Source organism: Homo sapiens, chromosome 5 (assembly GCF_000001405.40).
Source record: "Homo sapiens chromosome 5, GRCh38.p14 Primary Assembly".
In the NCBI taxonomy this organism is placed as follows: domain Eukaryota; kingdom Metazoa; phylum Chordata; class Mammalia; order Primates; family Hominidae; genus Homo; species Homo sapiens.
Genome location: NC_000005.10, coordinates 79035721 through 79059266, shown reverse-complemented (window position 1 = coordinate 79059266; position 23546 = coordinate 79035721). Strand labels below are relative to the sequence as shown.

Sequence of the window (23546 nt, the reverse complement as noted above, 5' to 3'; positions counted from 1 at the left end):
CATCGCTGTATTACAAACGTTAAGGTAGCACAGATATTTTAATAGTGAAATGTATTAATCACATAGCTCTTGCTAAAATGTTCTTAATAAGCTTCATATTCAAAAGCTTTTCTACACAGTATATAAAATAAAAAGTGTTTTTGAGTACTTCACTTATTCTCAGTTGTTTTGTGTGTTTATGATCTCTATTAATATTTACATATCACATGTAAGGAAAGAAATACACGTATTTTAGTGGTTATATTCCAAACTTTGTATTGGGTGTAAATGTATGAGTGAAAGATTTGGAGCCACTGGAATATAGGATGGTTTGACATCAGTCACTGGACTTTTTGAGGTAGTAGAGGCTCCTGAGAGAGGGAGAGGTTTGTTAAGGAGACAGGGGAAGCACTAGTTAGCATCCGTTATGCTATCCATTATTTAGCATCCAGGAATGAATTTTCTAACTCCATCATTCCTTCTATCTTATTAATTGTCAGTCTAAGGAAGACCTTTACATTCTCCTGTACTTATTTGTTTATTTATCTCAAGAAAGATTTACAAATTCTTAATTTATTTGAAGGGTTGTAATTCTTAATGATTATATCTCCGTTTCATCTTCCCTTCCTTATCTTCTCTACCAGCTACAATCACTTTTTCCAAACGACAGCTAAACTCCTTTCCTATGACTTCTGTGACCTTTCTGGCATCTTCTCTTTCCCTAGTTTCATAGTTACTATGTGTCTAGGACTCAATCATTTACCCTTGATTTAATTGTTTCCTGTATGAAAGTTTCATAACCTCAGACTATAAAATCCTGAGTGATAAGAACAATGTTTTCTCCTTCTTTCAGGCTTCTCATTTAATATGTCCTCGTTGAAGTCACAGAAGATTAAAACATTGTGCCATCTTCATATTCAAGCCTGGCACTTACATTAACAAAAGATACCATGTGCAATATCACTTTCAAATAATTTAAATGGAAGCGCTAATATGGGTAGCCCCAAATTTTAAACACAGATTTTAAAAGCCAATATATAAAAGAAAGGGTATAAAAATTAAATAATTTCTATGTCTGAGTGAGAAAATTGAGTCCATATCTTACTTCTGACTATCGTAGCAGCAAGGAAAAGAGGGTAGTGTAAATTGTTTAGTAGAACTGGGTATACTGTTGCGGTAAGGGAGACTAACTTTTCCTTGACAACGAATTTCTAAAATAATTTGTTACCTACACAAAGTACATTGGGCTAAATGTCTTCAGTAAGAGTTTTTGAAAAAATGAACCAATGTGACCTTTTCACATGAAAGAGAATTAACTTAAAATTTCTGGAGTGAGGGAGAAGAGGATTGCGTAGTGTAGATAGATAATTTTCCAGTGGTCTAGCTTAACCCAGGTATAAAGCTTACAGGATCTTGAGGAGTGGATGGTGATCAGTACCCTAGGCCAGTGCTTGTGATGACCAGATTTCTCAACTGAAAATATATATTGTCAGTTTTATATAGGACATATATATAGGAGATATGTTTAAGACAAAATGGGGGTCACTAGCAGATACCTGAAGGCCAGAGATTCTCTATTATTGAACCAGGAAAGTTTGCATGCACACTGGATACCAACATGTTAAAGCAGCAGGGCATGTTTGGCCATGAAGTTGAAGAGTTTGGCTTACAGGTGCATTGTAATGGAATCCCTTCTCTACTTCCACATGGAGCTGTGCTACTGGATGACCTATAAGCTGGGCCAGGATTTTTCTTAAAAAAAAAAAAATCAGCCATGGATATGTCCAGATGTTTGAACAAGTACTGGATGGAAGCCTCAGGGTTTTGGTTATAAAGGATGATTGACAAACTTTAATGGCATATTTGAGTGCAGGAGGATGAAATGCCCACCACTACCATAGAAGTACCTTATAAATACTCCTAAGTAGATTTTACTGTGAACAGATTGTGTTCTGATGAGCTTTCCAGGATAAATTAGCTGCCCAGTGAGGCCCCAGATATTTGAGAGAACCTGCTTCAAATAATTGCTTAGAATTCTTTTTCTGGATTCCACATTACATCTGCCAGATTTGAGAAAAGGAGTTTTAGTGTAGCTAATATTTAGATACTTTTTTCTGAGAATAATCAATCAATATTTATTCAACAAAGATTTGCAGTGTACCACCTATGTGCTCATCAAACAGGTTAAACTTTGACAAAAGTCTGTTCACCTATTCTTCAGGCTCCAGTGATAAGGAATTTTCTAATTCTTAAATTTTGCAATTTCAGGAAAGGGCCAGGAGGGCTGCTCCATTTAAGAGAAGGGTGGAGACTGGGTCAAAGAAGATCCTGTGCTAGTCCATGGTCCTTCTGCTTAAGGGAACACACACATGGTTTGCTGGCTTGAATCCACATTGTATGCCATTCCCCCATTACTTTTTTCTGTTCTTTTTTGAGACAGAGTCTCACTCTGTCACCCAGGCTGGAGTGCAATGGCGTGATCTTGGCTCACTGCAACCTATGCCTCCCGGGTTCAAGCTATTCTCCTGCCTCAGCCTCCCAAGTAGCTGGGACTGCAGGCTTGCACCACCATGCCTGGCTAATTTTTTGTATTTTTAGTAGAGAAGGGGTTTCTCCATATTGGCCAGGCTGGTCTCGAACTCCTGACCTCAGGTAATCCACCCACCTCGGCCTCCCAAAGTGCTGGGATTACAGGCATGAGCCACCACGCCTGGCCTCCCCCATAGTTTTATTTATTTATTTATTGAGATGGAGTTTTGCTCTTTTGCCCAGGCTGGAGTGCAGAGGCGTGATCTTGGCTCACTGCAAGCTCCGCCTTTTAGTTTCAAGCAATTCTGCTGCCTCAGCCTCCCGAGTAGCTGGGATTACAGGTGCCCGCCACCACGCCCAGCTAATTTTTGTATTTTTAATAGAGACGGGGTTTCACCATTTGTATTTTTAATAGAGACGGGGTTTCACCATGTTGGCCAGGCTGGTCTCGAACTCTTGACCTCATGATCTGCCCACCTTGGCCTCCCAAGATACTTTTCTATATAGTCATACATAGGACTATATAGCACATAGTCCTAAACCTTCCATCTAAATCATCCCATTTCTGAATCTCTGTACAACGCTATCCATGTTAACTTGTAGGGACTTAACATGTATGTTTATTGGCTGGCTCTCACTTTACTCACATAGTTCACATTGCTTCTTAAAACCTGTCATGAGCCTTATGCTCTGGTGTGCTCAAACTGGTGCTGATGTGTTCTCATCCCAAAGGACTGGCTGGTGCTTCTCAGTTTCTTTCCAGCATTAAATTATTGCTTAACAGATAAACTGTCAACATTTTGAGAATGTTAATTTTTTTTCAGTATTTCTTTTCCTCTCTGCTTTTAAGGCAGGTTTAACAACTTACTTTCATCCTGGAATAAACTTGAAGAAAATACATTATGATAGCATCAAACTTTATGAGAAACTGGAAGAAGAAACTGGTCAGGTAAAGGCATTTAACTTGAAACTGTCTGTTAGGTCGGCTTCTCAGAAACATGTAAGATTTCTGAAGGATTTTGATGCATCATTGTGTATGACCGTGTGGAGTGCTTAATGTAGTAGAGGAATATGATGAGAGTTTAAGGTAAGAACCTCTAGAGTCTGCTTTAAAATCAACTTAATTTCTCAAAGTATATTATTCATGTCATGAACCATTCTTTATTTTTTAAATGAAGAAAGAATAAAAAGCAGCTTTCAAAAGTATCTTTAGCCAGTTACTATATCTAGAAACTAAGAAATTGGAGTCTTTCAGCAATTGCATTGCAAAGGATCTGACGATAGAATGTACCAGATTGTCCCATGACTCTGAACAGTACTTCATTAAGAGCCCCTCACTTTCATGTTTATCCCTTCTCATATTTACTCAAACTCTCAAAATAAAATGGCAGGCAAAAGAGTATCCATAGGCTAAGACTGAGGTCTCAAATTTTCCATGTCACTTCCCTTGCCTAAACCATCCAATGGCTCCCCACAGTCTACCAGACAAAGCCAAAGGATTAGCATGGCCTTAGGAACATGACCTTTGTCAGCTGACCTCTGCCTGCTGTCCCAACTGTTTCTTTTTCCATTCTTCCCTCTGCTTATCTGCTTCAGCTACTCTCAATAACATATAGTTTTGGAATGTGCTGAGCTCTCTCAAATCACTGCTTTTTGTTTTTGTTGTGTTCTGTTTTCTGCTGCTTCCCCTGGCCCCATCTTCGGCATCCACCTTCCCTGGGGTCACCACCTTTGAGAAGCCTTCCTTGACTTTTCCTGCCTGCTAGGCAAGTCAAAGCTGGAGGTCCCATCTCTTGGTTCTCAGAGCATTTGTGCACACCTCTTTTATAACTTGAATCTCTCTCTATTGTAATTGTTGATTTACTTGTTGGTCCTCCCTACAAGTAACTTGAGGGCAAGGGCTATATCTTTTATCTCTGTAACTGAGTGCTTGGCAAACTGAAGGACTTTAATAAATGTCAAATGAATGTTTACTTCAATTCAGACAATCTAAGCATTGCAACATTTTGATTCTACATGATCTCTCCTTAAATTTTTTGTCTTTCTCTTTTTCATACAGTTTTTGTTCACGCTGTACATTAACACTCATTCCATGCTACTGTGATTTTGCATTTAGCTGTCTGTCTTCAACTGTGGGGTATAAATTCCACTTAGGCAGAGTCTTTACCTTTCTTGTTCACCCCTACACCTGTGGGGCTTAGAATAGTGCCTGGCTCCGAACAGGCACTTAGTAAATATGGTAGTTGCTGAATAAGTGTCTTTTAATAAGATGCAAATATTTTAATAGTTATTTCTTTCACTCGTAATAAATCTTTTTGTACAGCTGCATTTTCATTATACTGGAGCAGAACCATGTTTGAGTACCAAACAATGACTTATTTATATGCTCTCACTGGAATTATTGTCACAGGTGGTGGGATTCCATCAGCCAGGTAGTATCAGACTTGCTACCACCCCTGTAAGGGTAGATGAATTTAAATATCAAATGACTCGGACTGGCTGGCATGCAACAGAACAGTATCTCATTGAACCTGAAAAAATTCAAGAGATGTTCCCTTTACTCAACATGAATAAGGTATTTATCTTAAGGGCATTTTTACCATTTGTTGACTTAAGTAAAAATTAGAAAAAGTTATTAAGAAGTTAACTAAAAACAGAAAACTTGGTACACACATTTTAAATGTGACAAAATCATATGATTAATTTTGGAATTTGGGTAACTTACAAGATAGGCTGTTATATACAGTAAATGATATATAAAAAGGTAATGACAAATCTTGTTAGTTTTTCACCTTTGACAATTGATTAAACATTTTCAATACCTTTCCATTATTGTGTCCCCCAGATCTAAGGGTTTCCATACACAAACCTTCTGTTTGAGAACTGCAGAGAGAATGATAACCTGATATGATAAATGTCTAGAAAGACTGTGGTATTAAAATGTTTTAAAAATCAAATTAAGAAATGCCATGGTACGTTGCTCTACAAATATCACCTAGCTTATAGCTGTACTCCCCTTACAGACTCTGTGCTAGGTACGGATCTAGATTTATACCACATTTGCCTGAGAGAACCTACTTGACATGAAATTTAGTGTTTTTTCCTAGTGGGTAATAATTCCTTTTGAATAATAATAACAATGGCTAACACTTACTGTAGCACATATTTATGTACCAGTTAGTATGCTAAGTCCTTACATGCATAATTTCATGGCACGTATTTATGTACCAGTTAGTATGTTAAGTCCTTACATGCATAATTTCATGTAATCTTCACAATAATAGTATGGGGCAGGCTGGATGCCATGGCTCACTCCTGTAATCCCAGCATGTGGTAAGGCCAAGGTGGGGGGATTGCTTGAGGCGAGGAGTTCAAGATTAGCCTAGGCAACATACTGAGACCTCGTCTCACACACTCACACACACACACAAAATTAACTGAGTGTGGGGTAGTAGGATTCCGTCTGTAGTCCTAGCTACTTGGGAGGCTGAGGCAAGAGGATCTCTTGAGCCCAGGTGTTTGAGGTTATAGTGAGCTATGATTACACTACTGCACTCCAGCCTGAGCAACGAAGTGAGAGCCTGTCTCTAAAATTTCAGAAATAAAAAAAAAGTTTATATCTATATCTATGTTATGCGGTATATATTATTGTTAAACAGGAAATTTTAGCTCAGACAGTTTACATAGTGAGCCCAAGCTCATTCACTAGAAAGAGCTGGAGTAGAGATTTAAACCCATGCTCTCTGACTCCCTTGCATTATACATCTTGCCCAAGTGTATCAGATGGGGCTGTTGGGGAAACACATGCTTATTTCCCTGCTGGTGACCACTGCAGCAGTTCCCATCTCTGAGGGTTTGTATCATTGACTTGGGTGCTAGGGTTGTTTGCCTTTGCGAGTCTTCACAGGCTGCTGGCACTCCCTTGTCTATAGTTGTGTGTGATACCAGTGTGATGGCAGATTGGTGTTGCACTGCATTGTCTGCATTGAAATTTTACCTCCACTACCAGTAAGGATATACTTACATTTGTTTATATGTCAATCCTGAATGCTTTGCTGGAACTCCTCACTATCATGAATTTTTCTCAAGGGCATTCATTAAGCAATGGGAATATGTGTGAAGGGTATTCTCTGCATCTGGGAGAAGGTACCAAACCAAACAGATGTGGGATTACTACAACGAGGTCCTATCCATTATAAAACACCTGTGTGACATTTGGAAGTCTTTAGAAATGTGAATTCCCTTAAAATAGAAAGTCCCTTGCACAAGACCTATAATAAATGAAAGGATTGAATTCGTAATCAAAAACTTCCCACAAAGAAAACCCCAGGCCTGGATGACTTCACTAGTTAATTTGACCAGATATGTAGAGAAGACTTAATGCCAATCTCTCTCAAACTCTTCCAAAATAGAAGAGTGAATGCCTCTCAACTCATTCTATGAGGCCAGTATTGCCCTGATAACAAAATCAGACAAAGGCATCCCCCCAAAAAGAAAGACTGGTATCCCTTTTGAACATAGATACAAAAATCCTCAACAAAATACTAGCAAACTGAATTCAGTAACATATAAAACAGATTATGCAGTATGACCAAATAGAATGTATTCCAGGAATGCAGGGTTGGTTTAACATCTAAAAATTAATCAATGTAACAATACCACATTAATAGAATAAAGGACAAAACTACACAGTTATTTCAATAGATACAGAAAAGACATTTGACAAAAGCTCCTTGCTTGTATTTGGTGCTCAGCCAATTTTTGTTGAATAGATGAGACCCATATATAATATTTCACTGATCATTCTATCAACGTATCCCATCTGAGTTTCATTCTTCTTTGTTTTCCCCACAGTACCTTGCCTGAAGGCCTAAAACAAAGTAGATATGCAAGAATTAATTGTTGAATGATTGAATCAAACATAAATTTCCTGACACCAGATATATTATTTAATGTGAATTTATTAACAGTATTAAAAATTAAATATAAATTATAATTGATATATCAGTTGGAATTAGATTTGTCTTCAAATGTCAGAAACCAAAATAAGAAGGTGTAAACAAGATAGAGGTTTATTTCTCTTTCTTTTCAGCAGTCCAGGACTTGAATGGTGGCTTTTTCATGAAGTCTTCAGGGACCCAGTCACTTTCCAGATCAAGAAACACTTTTGAAGTCCAGTTTTACTAAACGTTTACTAGCAGGATATATTTTTACTGAGTAATAAGTATATATATATTTGAGTATTGACTCTGGTATGATTGATTTAGGTTTTAGCTGGATTGTATAATCCTGGAGATGGTCACATTGATCCTTATTCTCTAACTATGGCACTGGCTGCTGGGGCTAGGAAATGTGGTGCCCTTTTAAAATATCCTGCACCAGTAACTTCTCTGAAAGCCAGGTCAGATGGAACATGGGACGTTGAAACACCACAGGGGTCTATGAGAGCAAATAGAATTGTGAATGCTGCAGGTAAGCATATCATTTTTTTGAAATTAGTGTTTTTTAAGTGCCAAAGAAAGAAGATATTTAGCCGTAATGTTTCGTACGATGGACATTGTCATGAAGCACTGTGATGCTCCCAAGTTAAACATTTTGTCTGTTTCTAAGTGACAAAGCCCTCCCTCTATCACTTTGCTCTTGGTGGATGCGCTATCACTCTGTCCTTGGTTATCCAAAAAAAGTTGCTTATTTTCTCCATTCTGCATTTTATTTTGCTCCAGATTGTGTTTTTCCAAATTATGTTTATTTTTCCTTCCTGTATTCACTGTTTCTCTATATGAATAACCAGATTCTAGTGTTGAAGTTCATAAGCATCCTCTTTGTGTCCAATTTGCTTTTTAGGGCAGATTTGATCATTTGGGTTCTCTCTCATCCATTTCTGATGACTTTTGACTCTAGTTGAAAAAGTTTTTAAATGCTTTTCCTTCTAGAACATTATTAAACATATTTCATAATCTTCTCTTTTTGTTGTTCTGTTACGTTTGGACTCAGAGTAGTGAAGCCAAAAGGGATATTTGGGATAATCCAACAACACACTCATTTTCATTTGCAGAGGCAAGGTCCAAAAGGGTCATGTTACTTGGCCAAGCGGCCACTGATCGTTATGTCAGAGCCAGGACTGGGATCTGGCCTTTTGATTCTTGAGTTAATACACTTTCTAATAGGTGGATTGCATGTCAAGTCATTTTCAAGTATCACACATGCAAAATAAATTACAGTGAAAATGCTTGTGCAGTCTAAACTGGGATAATAGTCTATATTTTCCTATGGTTTATAATGTTTCCTTTAAAACCTAAAATAAGCATGAGGCAGTGACTGATTTTCTTTGAGCTCTTGCTTAAATTATAAAATGAAAACAATCTTTATTATTTATCAGATCAAATGATATCCCATGAGGACAAGCCAGAAACCCATACCCTTATGATTCTTTCCTCTGTATTGTAACTTTTGAGGTATATATATATATATATATATATATATATTTTTTTTTTTTTTTTTTTTTTTTTTGAGACAAAGTTTTGCTCTTGTGCCCCGGGCTGGAGTGCAATGGCGCGATCTCGGCTCACTGCAACCAGGTTTCAAGCGATTCTCCTGCCTCGGCCTCCTGAGTGGCAGGAATAACAGGCGCCTGCCACCACACCCGGCTAATTTTTGTATTTTTAGTAGAGACGGGGTTTCACCATGTTGCCCAGGCTCCTCTCGAACTCCTGACCTCAGGTGATCTACCCGCCTCGGCCTCCCAAAGTGCTAGGATTACAGGCGTGCGCCACTGCGTCCAGCCGATTGATATTATTTTTAACAAAGCATTTTTAGTGGTCCTAGAGAAAAAGTCATGTCTTCAATATTTAAGTGTCTAAATTAGTTATTTCCGAATTTCTCTCACCCATGCCTCCTATTTGAAAAGCCATAAAATCTCATGCTTTCTTTAATATAATTTGAAATTTGCAATAATATAAAATAACTTGCCTAAAAAATAAGAGCAGTGGTACAATACAATGTTGCATTGTTTTTAAGGCTCACTTTCCCTCCAGTCTCCATCTGACACTATCCTCTCTTAATGTCCTTAGGAATCTCTGGTCTAAATTCTGTCAGAAAACTTAGGGCAATGAAATAATTCAGACTTTTTTCTAAGTAGCAAGGATTCTTTGTAATTTTGCAACTTTTTCTATAGTCTCATGAATTCAGGCCCTAAAAACATTTGACTGTTTTCATCATTATAGCAAATACTAAAGTAACATACTGAGACTTCCACATCCAGCACCTGTGGCAGACATTGCTAATTAATCGCTGCACTCATTTCAGATGGACTTGGACAAAGCCCCACCATTTTTCTCAACACAGTACTTTAGGCAATCATACATTCCTGATTGACATTTTGAGAAATAACATAGAAGACCTTAATTTAACACATTTATGCATTGTTTTCCTAAAATGGATAAACATATGTACATAATGAATTGTCATTGTAATACATTTTTTTTCTAAACTACATACTGTAACAAAAAGGAATCACTGAAGAGGAAGATAGAATGATCTCCAAAGAGATCTGACCTAAACCCGTAACACTAGTTACCAGATGAAGCTTTCTCTGCAGCTGTGAAATCTTGTGGGGTGATGGGGTGCAGGAGGGCAGGGAAAGGAGGTCCTTGAGAACAGCTTGTCTCGTACGAGCCTGGAAAACAAGTCCCTGGTATTAGGACAGTGTGGCCCTGCATGGAGTGGTAATGCCTCCCTTTTTCCCTTGTTCTTGTGCTTTTTGCCCAGCCACTTCCAATCCCTTTTCCTAGTAACTCCAGGCATTTCTTTGCTGAAACTTGTGGGAAGTAGCTTATCTCAATTCTTTATCTCATTTAGACCAGATCTCTGCTCCCTAATCTTTTTTTTTTCTTTTTCTCTTCCATCGGGCAAAATTACCAAGAAAATCTAACTGATTACATATTAGTAGTCCACAGGAGGTGTGGAGGGGTGTGTGTGTGTGTGTGTGTGTATGTGTGTTTTTAATTATCTGTAAGTCTGTTTTCAAAACATCTGTATTTAAAAGATAGAAGATTCCCCAAAGGGTAAGCCTCAGTAATTGGGAACAAAAGTTTGGATATGCTCCCTTTTAGAACTGAAGCTAGCAAAGACCAGTTTTATGAACAAAAGCAACTATCTGCAGAAGTCATCATGCTATAATAAAATGAGTGGAGAGTGTGTGGCTGGTGGAATGTTTCCCACAGTTTCTCAGTGTGACCAGGGTATCTCCCAAATTCAGGCAAGGCCCTCAGACCAGCACTGAAATATGATTAAAGGAACCAGGATATGGACTTGGAAATACAACCAAAATGAAAAAGATGTAAAGGCTGCTGGGGTCTGCAGGGTATCCATAAAAAGAAAAGTCTAAGAGTAAAAATTTGTCAGCTGATGTGTTTTCGGCATTGTCCATGGCAGTGGCACTCTGTGGCCCAGAGACATAGACATTGCCAACTGAGTGACTTGGGTAAGTTACTTATTTGTAAAATAGGGATAATAGTCCCCATCTTGAAAAGTTATTATGGGTAGTAAATAAGCTAATAATGTAAAGTACCCAGAACGGGGCTCACCAGGTAGAAAGCAGTAAAAAAAAAGGTATAATAATTATTATGATCATTGCAATTATTTCCTTGATATTCCATGCCGTAGTCTGGGAGACACTAGCATCAGGTTATGATAGCTTCTTGGTACCAGACTTAAGACTGCTCAACTCCTTTCTTTTCCAATTTACTAGCAGAGTGGGTGCAGAATCCAGCACCGATTCTGCTGGTAAGTTGACTTCCCAAAGAGCTTGGTAATCAAGCTAGTGTGAGTAAGAATCACCTTGGGAAGTTTCCCAAGCTTCAAAAAGATTCTAATTCAGGTGTTCTGGGTGGGTTCTCAGAAGCTGCATTTTAAATAACTACTCCAGGTACTGTACTGTCTGTACCAGATGATTTGCAAGAAAAATCTTTGAAGAAACACTATTGTGTAGGTGTTTCTAGGAGAGAGAATATAATGACTGTATTCGGAGCTAGCAGAACTGGGGAAGTTTCTGATGCTTCCGACCTCTTGATGGGCAGTAGTCTAACTTGCCTTTAGTTACCAAAGCTTTCCAAATTGGCTTCACTCTACCCTTTCCCTCAGGTACAGCTCAGGGACGCGGGCAGGTACTAGTTATTATGATGCAGGCTTTTTCTCCGCATGGTGTTGAACGTTTTTCTTTACCTCATTTCCAATTGACTCATTAAATCTGAGATAACTTTGTAAAATTTACTTAAGAATTTTCCTAACATGGCAAATCAGAAATGTGATTGGGTTGTGCTCACCTGAAGCTCAGTGTTCAGCCAAAAAGAATTGCTTAATTTTGCCTGATACTCTGCGTCAAAGCATGAGGCCATCATTGTCATCATATAAACCATCTAGTAGAAGTAAACTTGTCCATGAACCTTCAGCCTGCATTTTAACCTCATTTTTATTAATCACTGCATTTTTAAAAAATGGAAGCCATTTCCAGTAGTCATTTTTAATTGACTCTTCTCTTTAGTTGTTTTTCAGGTGATAATGGTAGATTTTAGAATGAGTCTTCCACACTTGTCTCTCTTCCCTTGAACTTAATGGGTGGGTGATCAGGCAGGAGTTGAAGTGTAACTCTAGCTAGATTTAGGTTAATTTGATTGACATATGGAAGAAGAGAATGCTAAAGGACACCAGCCCCATAGATATCTATGGGTAAAACAGCTTGCTATGGGATTTGAAGTAATATAGTGATAAGATATTTCTGCATACATTTCCACTTTGTATTCATGATGAAGTGCATTAGTAAGCAAGCAGTTGGACTCAGAAATTCATAAATATGTTTGAATAGGGCAGAACTTATTTTTTTCAATTTATGTTTTTAATTGAAACAAATATATTGGGGATACTATAGCAGTTTGAATTGCTTAGCTAAAAATTTTGATTTTTGTATATTTAAAAATTGTCCTAGTGTATATAACTAGAATATGTGGCTTTACTATATTTTTGTACACAGTCCTGACATTGGTAATTCACATCTTCCTACTAGCAAGAGTAAATTAAGTCTCAAAATTACTAAAAGACCAAAACGCCTGTACTTGGGGAGGCTGAGTTGGGCAGATTGCTTGAGTCCAGGAGTTCAAGACCAGCCTGGGCAACATGGCAAAACCCTGTCTACATAAAAGATACAAAATTAGCCAGGCATGGTGATATGTGCCTATAGTCCCATCTACTCAGGAGGCTGAGATGAGAGGATCACCTGAGCCTGGGAGGTCGAGGCTGCAGTGAGTTATGATTGCGCCACTACACTCCATTACAGCCTGGGCAACAGAGTGAGACCATGTCTCAAAAACAAAACAAAACAGGCCAAGCATTGTGGCTCACACCTATGATCCCAGCACTTTGGGAGCCCCAGGCAGCGGATTACCTGAGGTCAGGAGTTCAAGATCAGCCTGGTCAAAATGGTGAAATCTCGTCTACTAAAAATACAAAAATTAGTTGGGCATGGCGGCGGATACCTGTAATCCCAGCTACTCAGGAGGCTGAGACAGGAGAATGGCTTGAACCCTGGAGGCAGATGTTGCAGTGAGCCAAGATCGTGCCACTGCACTCCAGCCTGTGCAACAGAGCAAGACTCTGTCTCAAAAAACAAAACAAAACAAAACAAAACAAAACAAAACAAAACAAAACACCGGCAAATAGCTCTGATGCCCACAGTTAGATTTCTGGTTTGCAAATGGGTACCCGTTTCTGGATTCATTATACAAGTGTGACCAACTTAGCCATTGCAACAAACAAAACAATAGAATGCAAAGGAAAGGTTTAGATGGTTACATGGAAATAAACTTACACACACAAGTACATAATCTAGGTTCCCAGACTGACTCATAATTGATGATTCTCTGTCTAGCTTGGAACCTCATAATGATAGAGACTTCAGAACTCCTTATTAGATTCAGAAAAACAGCAGAGACAGTACTGGTTAAAAACTTATTGTGTAACCCCTAAAGAAATAAATAGGATCATGTAATCATTTCAATGATCACTCAAAATTATTATGAAACAAACAAGCAAATAGAACTCCCTGCCCCCAAATCATCTAATGGTGGTCAGTCAACACCATGTCCTTGCCAAATAATAAGCATTTTTATTATTTTAGATTCTAAAATCCCTTTATACAGTGAAGGTGCCTTGGATTTTTAAAATAAAGTCTGCAGCAAGAAAAACCAATAAGATGTGATGATTACAGGATGTCCAGTGTGGCCTGGGGCATGTCTTACCCTACTAGCCTTTAGCTCCCACATCTATGTACTGAAGGGTCAGCCTGGGAAAGAATCAAGGGTCCTTTCAGCCACAAATTATCCAGTTCTATCTTTTGCAAATGAAAAAAATAACATTCACCTCCGCAAATAAAACAATCTCTGTGCTAACGGTGAAGTGGGAAACATTCGTCTGGGGAACTCCCTGCCTACTTATGAGACCAATCTCCCCTTTCCTGTGGCTTCTCTTTCTCCCTGGTTTTGACTTCTGGTGCTTTTGTGCCTTTACAATAAAGGATCTTACAAACTTATTCAAACTAAACTTTTAAAACAACAGATAAAACTTAATGTGCTTTCTCTCCCGAAGTATGCACCATTTTCAATTTTAGCTTAACAGAACAATCTTGTACTTTTGGAATTTTAGGCATCAACAATTTGGGGAGAATAGGGCTTAGAGGATAGAGGAGTTGGCTTGTAGGGCTTTCTTAGGTATATCATTATGTATTATGTTGGTCACAGCAACACAGGGGCCTCTTCCTTTGCCTGACTGTCCCTGTCCACAAATATGGGCAGTCTTGTTACGGTACTTCTTACTAACATTTGTGCCTTTTGTATATTTGGGTTGTTCGTTTTTTCTTTCAAATAAATTTTTTTGTTTTTTTCCTGCCTACCTTTGCTTATGGGCAATAACATTTTCAGGAATGGAGTTCCCCTAGATCACAGATATCTTCAAATCTCTGGGTAATGCAAAATATTGTCTTCTCTTCCCCCATTCAGTTTTGCAATGACAAAAGTTTAGATTGTTATGACATTTATTAGACTTTGCCATGAGTACTTAAGCCTTCTAAACATTTTATTCTAATATAAATTGCTATATGAGTGTCAGTTATGTGTTTATATATGGGCTGACACTTTTAAATGATTTTTTTGTTTAAGGATTTTGGGCTCGTGAAGTAGGTAAAATGATTGGACTAGAACATCCTCTCATTCCGGTTCAACATCAATATGTTGTTACATCGACTATATCTGAAGTGAAAGCTTTGAAACGAGAACTGCCTGTGCTCCGTGACCTGGAAGGATCATATTATCTCCGACAGGAAAGGGATGGGCTTTTGTTTGGTCCATATGAAAGTCAAGAGAAAATGAAAGTTCAGGACTCCTGGGTCACCAATGGAGTTCCTCCAGGTGGGTTCAGCAAATGAAAGTGTGTGCTAGTCAGACATGAATGGTTCATCCTCTCCATGGCTGGAGGATGGCTGTAGAATAAGACAACAACATAATACTAGACTTTCAGATACCTGGGACATTGGAGGTGACAGGTTTGAGGTGAGCTCTGTTCTCGTATCCCTTTGAACAATCACAGCAGGGAGTAGGGGAAAAGAAAGATGTAGTTGATGGTAGAGAAGCTGAAGTAACATTTCCAGCTGCTTTGAAAGGTTCCAGATACATTTTTACCTGCCCACACAACCTCCTGCCTCCCCGTTTTTTCCTCAATCCACTGCCAGCTTGGTCTGCTTTCAAGATTTGAATATAGATGCTATTGTGCTTTTACAGCTGGAAACACAACTGATATCAGAGGCCAGATATCCATCCTAATAAGAAGGAAAACCCAAGAGTCTATAACAGAGCAGGGTTTTTGGTACTGTAAATGGAGTACTTCCCATGCTACATAAGTGGATATGGAAAAGGCTTGTGCCTCTATGCCAAAGCAGGGGATACTATAGTTTCTCTTTCAAGTTCTTTAAGGGAGATGGTTCTGTTTTTGCTTTTCATGAAATACTTCCACAGAGCCAGATTGAAGATTGGGTCATCTAAGGAGGTACCTCAGCTTTTAATCTATAAAAAGAGCTAAAAAATCACTGGGGCATTGAAATATTACAGGGAATACAAAGAAATGTAGGAAATGGTACTTCCTAAAATTATACTTTGATAAGCTTCTTGAGATAGGAAATGAATCCCTCCACTCTACTCCTCAAAGAGTAGGCCCAAATAATAGCAAATGATCACTAAATTGCCTTCTACAGAAGTTAGGCCAGCTGGTTTCAGGGCTTTGGTTGTGCTGAGTGGGCTCTGCACATTTGGGCCTGAGCAGAATTGCTCCTGATCCCACAGGGAGGGTTGAAATGCCACTGAGAGCCTCCCTCTCTGCTGTTCCCCCATGCTGGCAGCTTCTCCTTCAAATAAATCTTGAACAAATATTTAAATAATGCCATTTGGAGGGAGAGCTGGATTGTTAGCTGTCTGTGAGCATGGGTACCCGTGTGTGCTAGTCCACCCTGATGGTCTGCAGGCCTCCATGAGACTGACCCTACCTGTAGTCCCCAGGAAGGGCAAGAAGCTGGCTGGCTGCTGTGTGGAAAAATCACTAGTGTTGGTAGAGACATTCTTTTAGAAGCTCATCACAATGACTTTTAGGACAAGAGGAGGATTGCACTTCAAGACCCTGCCTGTTTTCAGAACTCTAGCCCTTGGATGTGTATGGGGGCAGGCTGGAGGAAGGAGGCCTCCACACCATTCCTTTCTTGCTGAAAGGAGAGTTAAAAGGGGTCTAAAATCCATCATCTTAGATCTTGGAGGAGTGTTCCACTTTTTCCAGTATTCTGCCATGACTTTGTAAACTCCCATTTGCCCTCATCTCAGGGGATGAAACAGGTTCTTATGGTTAATTGAAGCATAACGATCTTCTTGACAAACCAAATTATAGTTTTTTTTTAAAAAAAACTGATTGGATTAAATATCAGAAACTATATTATTCATACATTTAAATTTTATATTAATTAAAGGTTAACTTTTATGATTTTGTTTCAAGAACAATACCATTGTTTTCAGTAATATAAATGGATACTCATCTGTTGATAGGGAATATGAAATTTAGACTTTAACAAAAAATGGCAGTACTTTCCTAACAGGCCATCTTTAAATGTAGGCCATGTCAGAGGCTTAAATCACTTTACAGGACTTGTCAGCTCAGCTACGGCATCCTGACCACAAGGGCAAATCTTTTTAGGTTTTGGAAAGGAACTCTTTGAGTCTGATCTAGATCGAATCATGGAACACATCAAAGCTGCCATGGAAATGGTTCCTGTCTTGAAAAAGGCTGACATCATCAATGTTGTCAATGGTCCTATCACGTATTCTCCTGACATTCTGCCTATGGTGGGGCCCCATCAGGGGGTCAGAAACTACTGGGTGGCTATAGGCTTTGGGTAAGTATCTTCATGTAATTCAACATTTATTGTAGAATCACTTATTTTAGCTAAATCTAGTTCCATATTCTCAGGATGCAAAAGGGAAATGTGGGAGGCTGAGAGAGAGAGAAAGAGAAACAGAGAGAGACCCAGAGAGTTTTCTCCCTTTCATGACCAAGGATTCATACAATGAATAAAAAATACTGGTTCAATCACTTGTATATGTTTTAAAGAAGGGCAACTATTTCCTGGAACACAGAAGGGCAATGATTTCCTGGAGCTTTCTCTCTTTTATTTTTTCAGATGGAGTTTTGCTCTCGTTGCCCAGGCTAGAGTACAGTGGCGTGATCTTGACTCACTGCGACTTCTGCCTCCTGGGTTCAAGCGATTCTCCTGCCTCAGCCTCCTCAGTAGCTGGGATTATAGGCACCCGGCATCACGCCGGCTAATTTTTTGTAATTTTTTTTTAGTAGAGACAGGGTTTTACCATGTTGCCCAGGCTGGTCTCAAACTCCTGACCTCAGGCAATCTGCCCACCTCAGCCTCCCAAAGTGCTGGGATTACAGGTGTGAACCACCGCACCCGGCCTCCTGGAGCTTTCTCTTTGCATATTTCCTGCCATTTCTATTAACTGTTTCTGGTTTTATGCTGTGTATCTTCAGATAGTCAATTTGCCCCAGTTTTACAAGGATGTTTTCATAACACGATGTGACAAAGATAATTCAAAATATCAAATGTATAACATGTCTGCTGCATTTTTCACCATAATTCATGTTTGTCCAACATGATTTGTTTCTTTATAAGTCCTCAGGTTGCTTTCTATTTATGACTCCATTGCCTCTTTGATGTTTCATTTCTGATGTTTGTTCCATTAATTTGGTGAATATTGATGTCAAGCCCACTCAACTATCATATCACATCTTCTAATATTCTATTTTTCTTCCCCATTTTATTTGGCCATTTATTCAACTAATGTATAATAACTGCTAGCTCTGTGCCAGGCCTAGGGCTAGGCATTGGAATACAGCTGACAACAAAGCAGTGAGGTCTGATTGGAGCTGGAGGGCTGCCTGAGGCACAGCTCTGCTGATCCAATAGAGAAGCTGGGGTCTCTACCAAGGTAGCAGCAGTGAAGACTGAGAGATGGGAGATAAAATCATCTAGATTTGGTGATCAATTTCATAAGATATTGAAGGGAAAGAGAAAAATGGCAAATGATGGCAACCTTTCTAACTTGACCACCGTCTATATGTTGGAGACATGGAGAGAGAGACAAGAAAATAATGAGTTCCATTTTTGATGGGTTGGGCTTGAAGTGTTAAGTTTAGGTATGTGGGACATCCAGAGGGAGAAAGTCAGATGGAGATTTGGGATGGGAAGTTATAATGTAATTGAGGGTTTTATAGTCACCTATAGAGTCCATATGCAGGCATGTGGAAGTAGGAGTGCTTCTCCTGCACATCACTCATGTATCTTCTTTGGAGAAATGTCTATTCATATCCTTTGCCATTTTCATAATTGGGTAATTTGTCTTTTTATTGTTTAGCTATGGAAGTTCTTTATATATTCTAGATATAAGAACCTTATCAGGTACATGATTTGCAGAACTTTTCTCCCATTCTGTGGGTTGTTTTTTTACTTTCTTGATGGTGTCCATTGAAATACAAAACTTTTTAATTTTGATGAAGTCCAGAATATGTATTTTTCCTTGGTTCACATGTACTTTTGGTGTCATATACAAGTAACCATTGTCTAATCCAAGTTCGTGAAGATTTAAACCTATGTTTTCTTCTAAGAGTTTTATAGTTTTAGCTTTTGCATTTAGTTCTGTAATCAGTCATGAGTTAATTCTTGCATATGACGTGAGGTAGGTGTCCAACTTTAGTCTTTTCATATGTATAGCCAGTTGTCCCAGAACTATTCATTGAAAAGACTATTCTGTCCTCATTGAATTATGCTGGCATCTGTAATGTCTTTTTTCTGATTCCTTTTCTTACACCAAATGTGTGGTATTTTCCAGCACCAACAACCAATTCTCCAATTCTCTAGTACTAACTGGGTGTCCAACAATTCCATTCAATTCTGACACCAACTCCTGGAATTAACATAGACCCCACAGGTTAAGGGATCCGTTCCACAAGACTGCTCTCACTTCGGACAACAGTCTCAAGTCTCGGGAGACACCCATACTTCTGACCAACTGGGTGTTCCCACAACCCTCTCCTCAGATTTGATAATTTGCTAGAACCAATCACAAAACTCAGGAAAATACTTATGTTTACTCTTTTATTATAAAGGATTCAGCTCAGGAGTAGCCAAATGGAAGAGATACATAGGACAAAATGTGAGGGGTTAGGGGTGGGTGGGGCAGCACCACCAGGCCCTTTCCAGGTGCCTTCCTAGCCCATCACTGTGTTCACCAACCCAGAAGCTCTCTGAACCCCATGCCTAGGTCTTTATGGAGGTTTCATTGCATAGGCATGATTGATTACATTATTGGTGACTGCACTCAATATCTCTTCTCCACTCCCTGGAGGTTGGAGTAGGGAGTGAGACTGAAAGTTCTTTATTATTATTATTATTTATTATTATTATTATACTTTAAGTTTTAGGGTACATGTGCACAATGTGCAGGTTAGTTACATATGTATACATGTGCCTTGCTGGTGTGCTGCACCCATTAACTCGTCATTTAGCATTAGGTGTATCTCCTAATGTTATCCCTCCCCACTCCCCTGACCCCACAACAGTCCCCAGAGTGTGATGTTCCCCTTCCTGTGTCCATGTGTTCTCATTGTTCAATTCCGACCTACGAGTGAGAATATGTGGTGTTTGGTTTTTTGTCGTTGCGATAGTTTACTGAGAATGATGATTTCCAATTTCATCCATGTCCCTACAAAGGACATGAACTCATCATTTTTATGGCTGCATAGTATTCCATGGTGTATATGTGCCACATTTTCTTAATCCAGTCTATCATTGTTGCACATTTGGGTTGGTTCCAAGTCTTTGCTATTGTGAATAGTGCCACAATAAACATACGTGTGCATGTATCTTTATAGCAGCATGATTTATAGTCCTTTGGGTATATACCCAGTAATGGGATGGCTGGGTCAAATGGTATTTCTAGTTCTAGATCCCTGAGGAATCACCACACTGACTTCCACAATGGTTGAACTAGTTTATAGTCCCACCAACAGTGTAAAAGTGTTCCTATTTCTCCACATCCTCTCCAGCACCTGTTGTTTCCTGACTTTTTAATGATTGCCATTCTAACTGGTGTGAGATGGTATCTCATTGTGGTTTTGATTTGCATTTCTCTGATGGCCAGTGATGATGAGCATTTTTTCATGTGTCTTTTTGCTGCATAAATGTCTTCTTTTGAGAAGTGTCTGTTCACATCCTTCGCCCACTTTTTGATGGGGTTGTTTGTTTTTTTCTTGCAAATTTGTTTGAGTTCTTTGTAGATTCTGGATATTAGCCCTTTGTCAGATGAGTAGACTGAAAGTTCTAACTCTCTAATCACATGGTTGGTTTTTCTGGCTACCAGCCCCCATCCTGAAGCTACCTAGGACTGCTCTCCTCTCCACAAGAGTCATCTCATTAACATTCAAAAAATAGTAAATCTCAAATGTTTTATGAATTCTGTGTCAGGAACTGGGAATAAAGACCAAATATTTAATTTTTATTATACCACAGCATCTTTATAAAAAATAAATTGACCATAGATGTATGGGTTGATTTCTAGACTCTCAATTCTGTTCCTTCATCTGTGTCTATTCTTATGCGACTACTATACTGTCTTTTATTTATTTATTTATTTTTGAGACAGAGTCTTACTCTGCTGCCCAGGGAATGGCACGATCTTGTCTGACTGCAACCTCCACCTCCCGGGTTCAAGCAATTCTCTTGCTTCAGCCTCCCAAATAGCTGGGATTACAAGCACGCTCCACCATACCTGGATAATTTTTGTATTTTTAGTAGAGATGGGGTTTTCCCATTTTGGCCAGGCTGGTCTCAAACTCCTGACCTCAAGTGATCCACCCACCTCGACCCCCCAAAGTGCTGGGATTTCAGGTATCAGCCACCACACCCAGCTGACACTCTCTTAATTACTGTTACTAGAAGTTACTAGCTTTGTAGTAATTTCTGAAATCAGGAAGTATGAATCCTCCAACTTTGTTCTTTTTCAAAATTGTTTTGGCTGGAAGTCCCATAAATTTTAGGACTAGTTTGTCAATTTATGCAAAGAAGCCAGCTGAGATTTTGATAGAGATTGCATTGAATCTGTAGATCATTTTGGGGAGTATTGACATCTGAACAATATTAAGTATTCTGATCCATGAACATGAAATGTCTTTCCATTTACTTAGGTCTTTTAAAATGTCTTTGAACAATGATTTGTAGTTTTCAGAGTAAAAGTTTTGCACGTCTTTTGTTAAATTTATTCCTAAGTATTTTATTCTCTTTGATATTCCAATTGAATTTTAGTATTAAATAATAGAAATTGAGGATCATTGACTGTAAGGCATGTTCTGAGCAGATAGAGTCACTGATCTCATGTGGAACACCTATTAACTAATTGCTAAAGAAAGTAGGAAGTTGCTTCCTCTAGAACAAGTTACTTATAACCTAGAAATCACATCTGTTTGCATGTGACTGATGTCAGACTCCTCCCCTGATTGCTCTGGCTAATTTTCTCAGGTCATAGATACTGGGAGGTGGGTGGAGAAGACAACAGGTGGGAGTGGGGGTGGGCAAAGTGCCTCCCTGTCTTTGACAGGTTTGGTCTAAACCAAAAAAGCCTTCCCGTTACCTAAAGTTGAGGTTTCTAAGATATTTCTTATGTAATATAATGGAATACCCCCATTAGCTGCCCCTCCTGGCTTATATCAGTGCACTCATTCCATGGCTCTGGAGGCCAGTGGTTCCCATACCTGGGTGAGGAGCAGAATCATCTGAGGAGCACGTTAAAAAGCAGAGTCTTGACCATGTGGTTAGTCACATGCACATTTTTTATCTCCTATACCTCTCATCTGTGAAATTCCTATTATTTGTCACTAGAACCCATGTGGCTTAGTCTGCTTGGGCTGCCATAATAAAGTACCATAGACTAGGTGATTTAAACAACAGAAATTTACTTTCTCACAGTTCTGGAGGCTGGAGGTCTGAGATCACAGAGCCGTCATGGCAGAGTTCTGGTGAGGGCTCTCTTCCTGGGTTGCAGATGGCCACCTTCTGGCTGTGTGCTCATGTGGCTTTTCCTTGGTGGGTGGGTGTGTGTGGAGAGAAAGCAAGCTCTCTGGTGTCTCCTCATAGAAGGACACTAACCCTATCATGAGGGCCCCACCCTCATGACCTCATTTAACCCTAAGTACTTCCCAAAGTATTTAGAGTACCATCTCTAAATACCGTGACATTGAGGATTAGGGCTTCAACAGATGCATTATGGGAGGACACAAACATTCAGTCCATAGCACCATGAAAGATGTATTGAATTGCAACAAACAAGCAAACAAACAGATTTCCAGACACTACTCCTATAGATTCTGATTTAGTGGTCCGGAGAGGGGCCCAGGAATCTGTATTTTATTATAATAATATCTGTAATTCTTGGTACAGCCAGTTCAGGGAATAGGTGTTTGCAAACTGCTTACATATGTGCCAGTGCCCATTTACCTTACTCGCAGAATATCCTCAGCCACAGCTATTTTACTTTGGACATTTGTTTTGTCACAATTCCAACAAGTTTTTCTGCTTCTAGGTAACTAACACAATGCCCAAAAAAGTCTTATGAATTGTATTTAATTGAATCTGATTTTCTTGGCTTAGAACGGATTATAAACAGCAAATTTAAAGAGGGGAGAGTGCTATAAGATGTAACATCCAGTCATTTAACAGAGTTATAAAAAGCAGATACAAACACTCAAAAAGCATATAGGCCTAGGGTCATTGAGAAGAATCTAGAATTCTGCAGATTAATGCTAGAGACAGAAGAAGAACCTAATTGTCCTCTCCTCTTTAAGTTCCCTTCTACTTTCACTTCACACCTTACTTCCTTATTAAAATCCTTTCAACTGGTCATACAAGGGCCCAATAGCCACCATGTATTCCTTGCCCACTATGTGCCATGCAGTATACTAAGTGCTTTTAAATGCCTTGGCAATTAATTCTCCACCAGCACCATAAAGTGTGCACAGGAGAAGAATGAAGCGCAGGGTGGTTACATAACTTGCCCAAGGTCACCCAGCTAACAGTGGAAGAATAAGAATCATACCCAGATCTTTTCCCCATACTTTTATACTTTTAGCTGCTAAGCCAGGGATTCTCCAGAGATGTTTTCTATTTTCCTAAGATGATACTTTAAAATCAAGAACATGATATGGAAAATAAAGGGGTTTTGACATCAGAAAAGGGATTGGTTTTACATTGGCCATGTGTAGTTCATAACACTCAGTTGTATGGAATTTTATGTAAAGCTTGTTAATGGTTGGATAACTTGTTTGTAAAATATTTACTTTTTAGAAATAAATTAGATTTGATTCAGGATTCCCCCCCCGCCCACCACTCCCACCCAAAT

General features: G+C 39.0%; 1 protein-coding gene across 5 annotated transcripts in view; it reads left to right on the top strand.

Annotated features, from left to right (window-relative positions):
• DMGDH (dimethylglycine dehydrogenase) overlaps positions 1-23546 on the top strand; it is a 72111-nt gene that overhangs the window by 10408 nt on the left and 38157 nt on the right. For 3 of the 5 annotated variants that reach the window (NM_013391.3, XM_011543355.3, XM_006714597.3), the window contains exons 3-7: positions 3359-3457; positions 4919-5083; positions 7776-7980; positions 14715-14963; positions 16786-16984. The exons of 1 other annotated variant lie outside the window; for it this stretch is intronic. In NM_013391.3, the coding sequence (NP_037523.2) occupies positions 3359-3457; positions 4919-5083; positions 7776-7980; positions 14715-14963; positions 16786-16984 (917 nt within the window). The remainder of the gene's footprint in view (positions 1-3358; positions 3458-4918; positions 5084-7775; positions 7981-14714; positions 14964-16785; positions 16985-23546) is intronic. One more of the 5 variants, NR_104002.3, reaches the window with a different exon arrangement.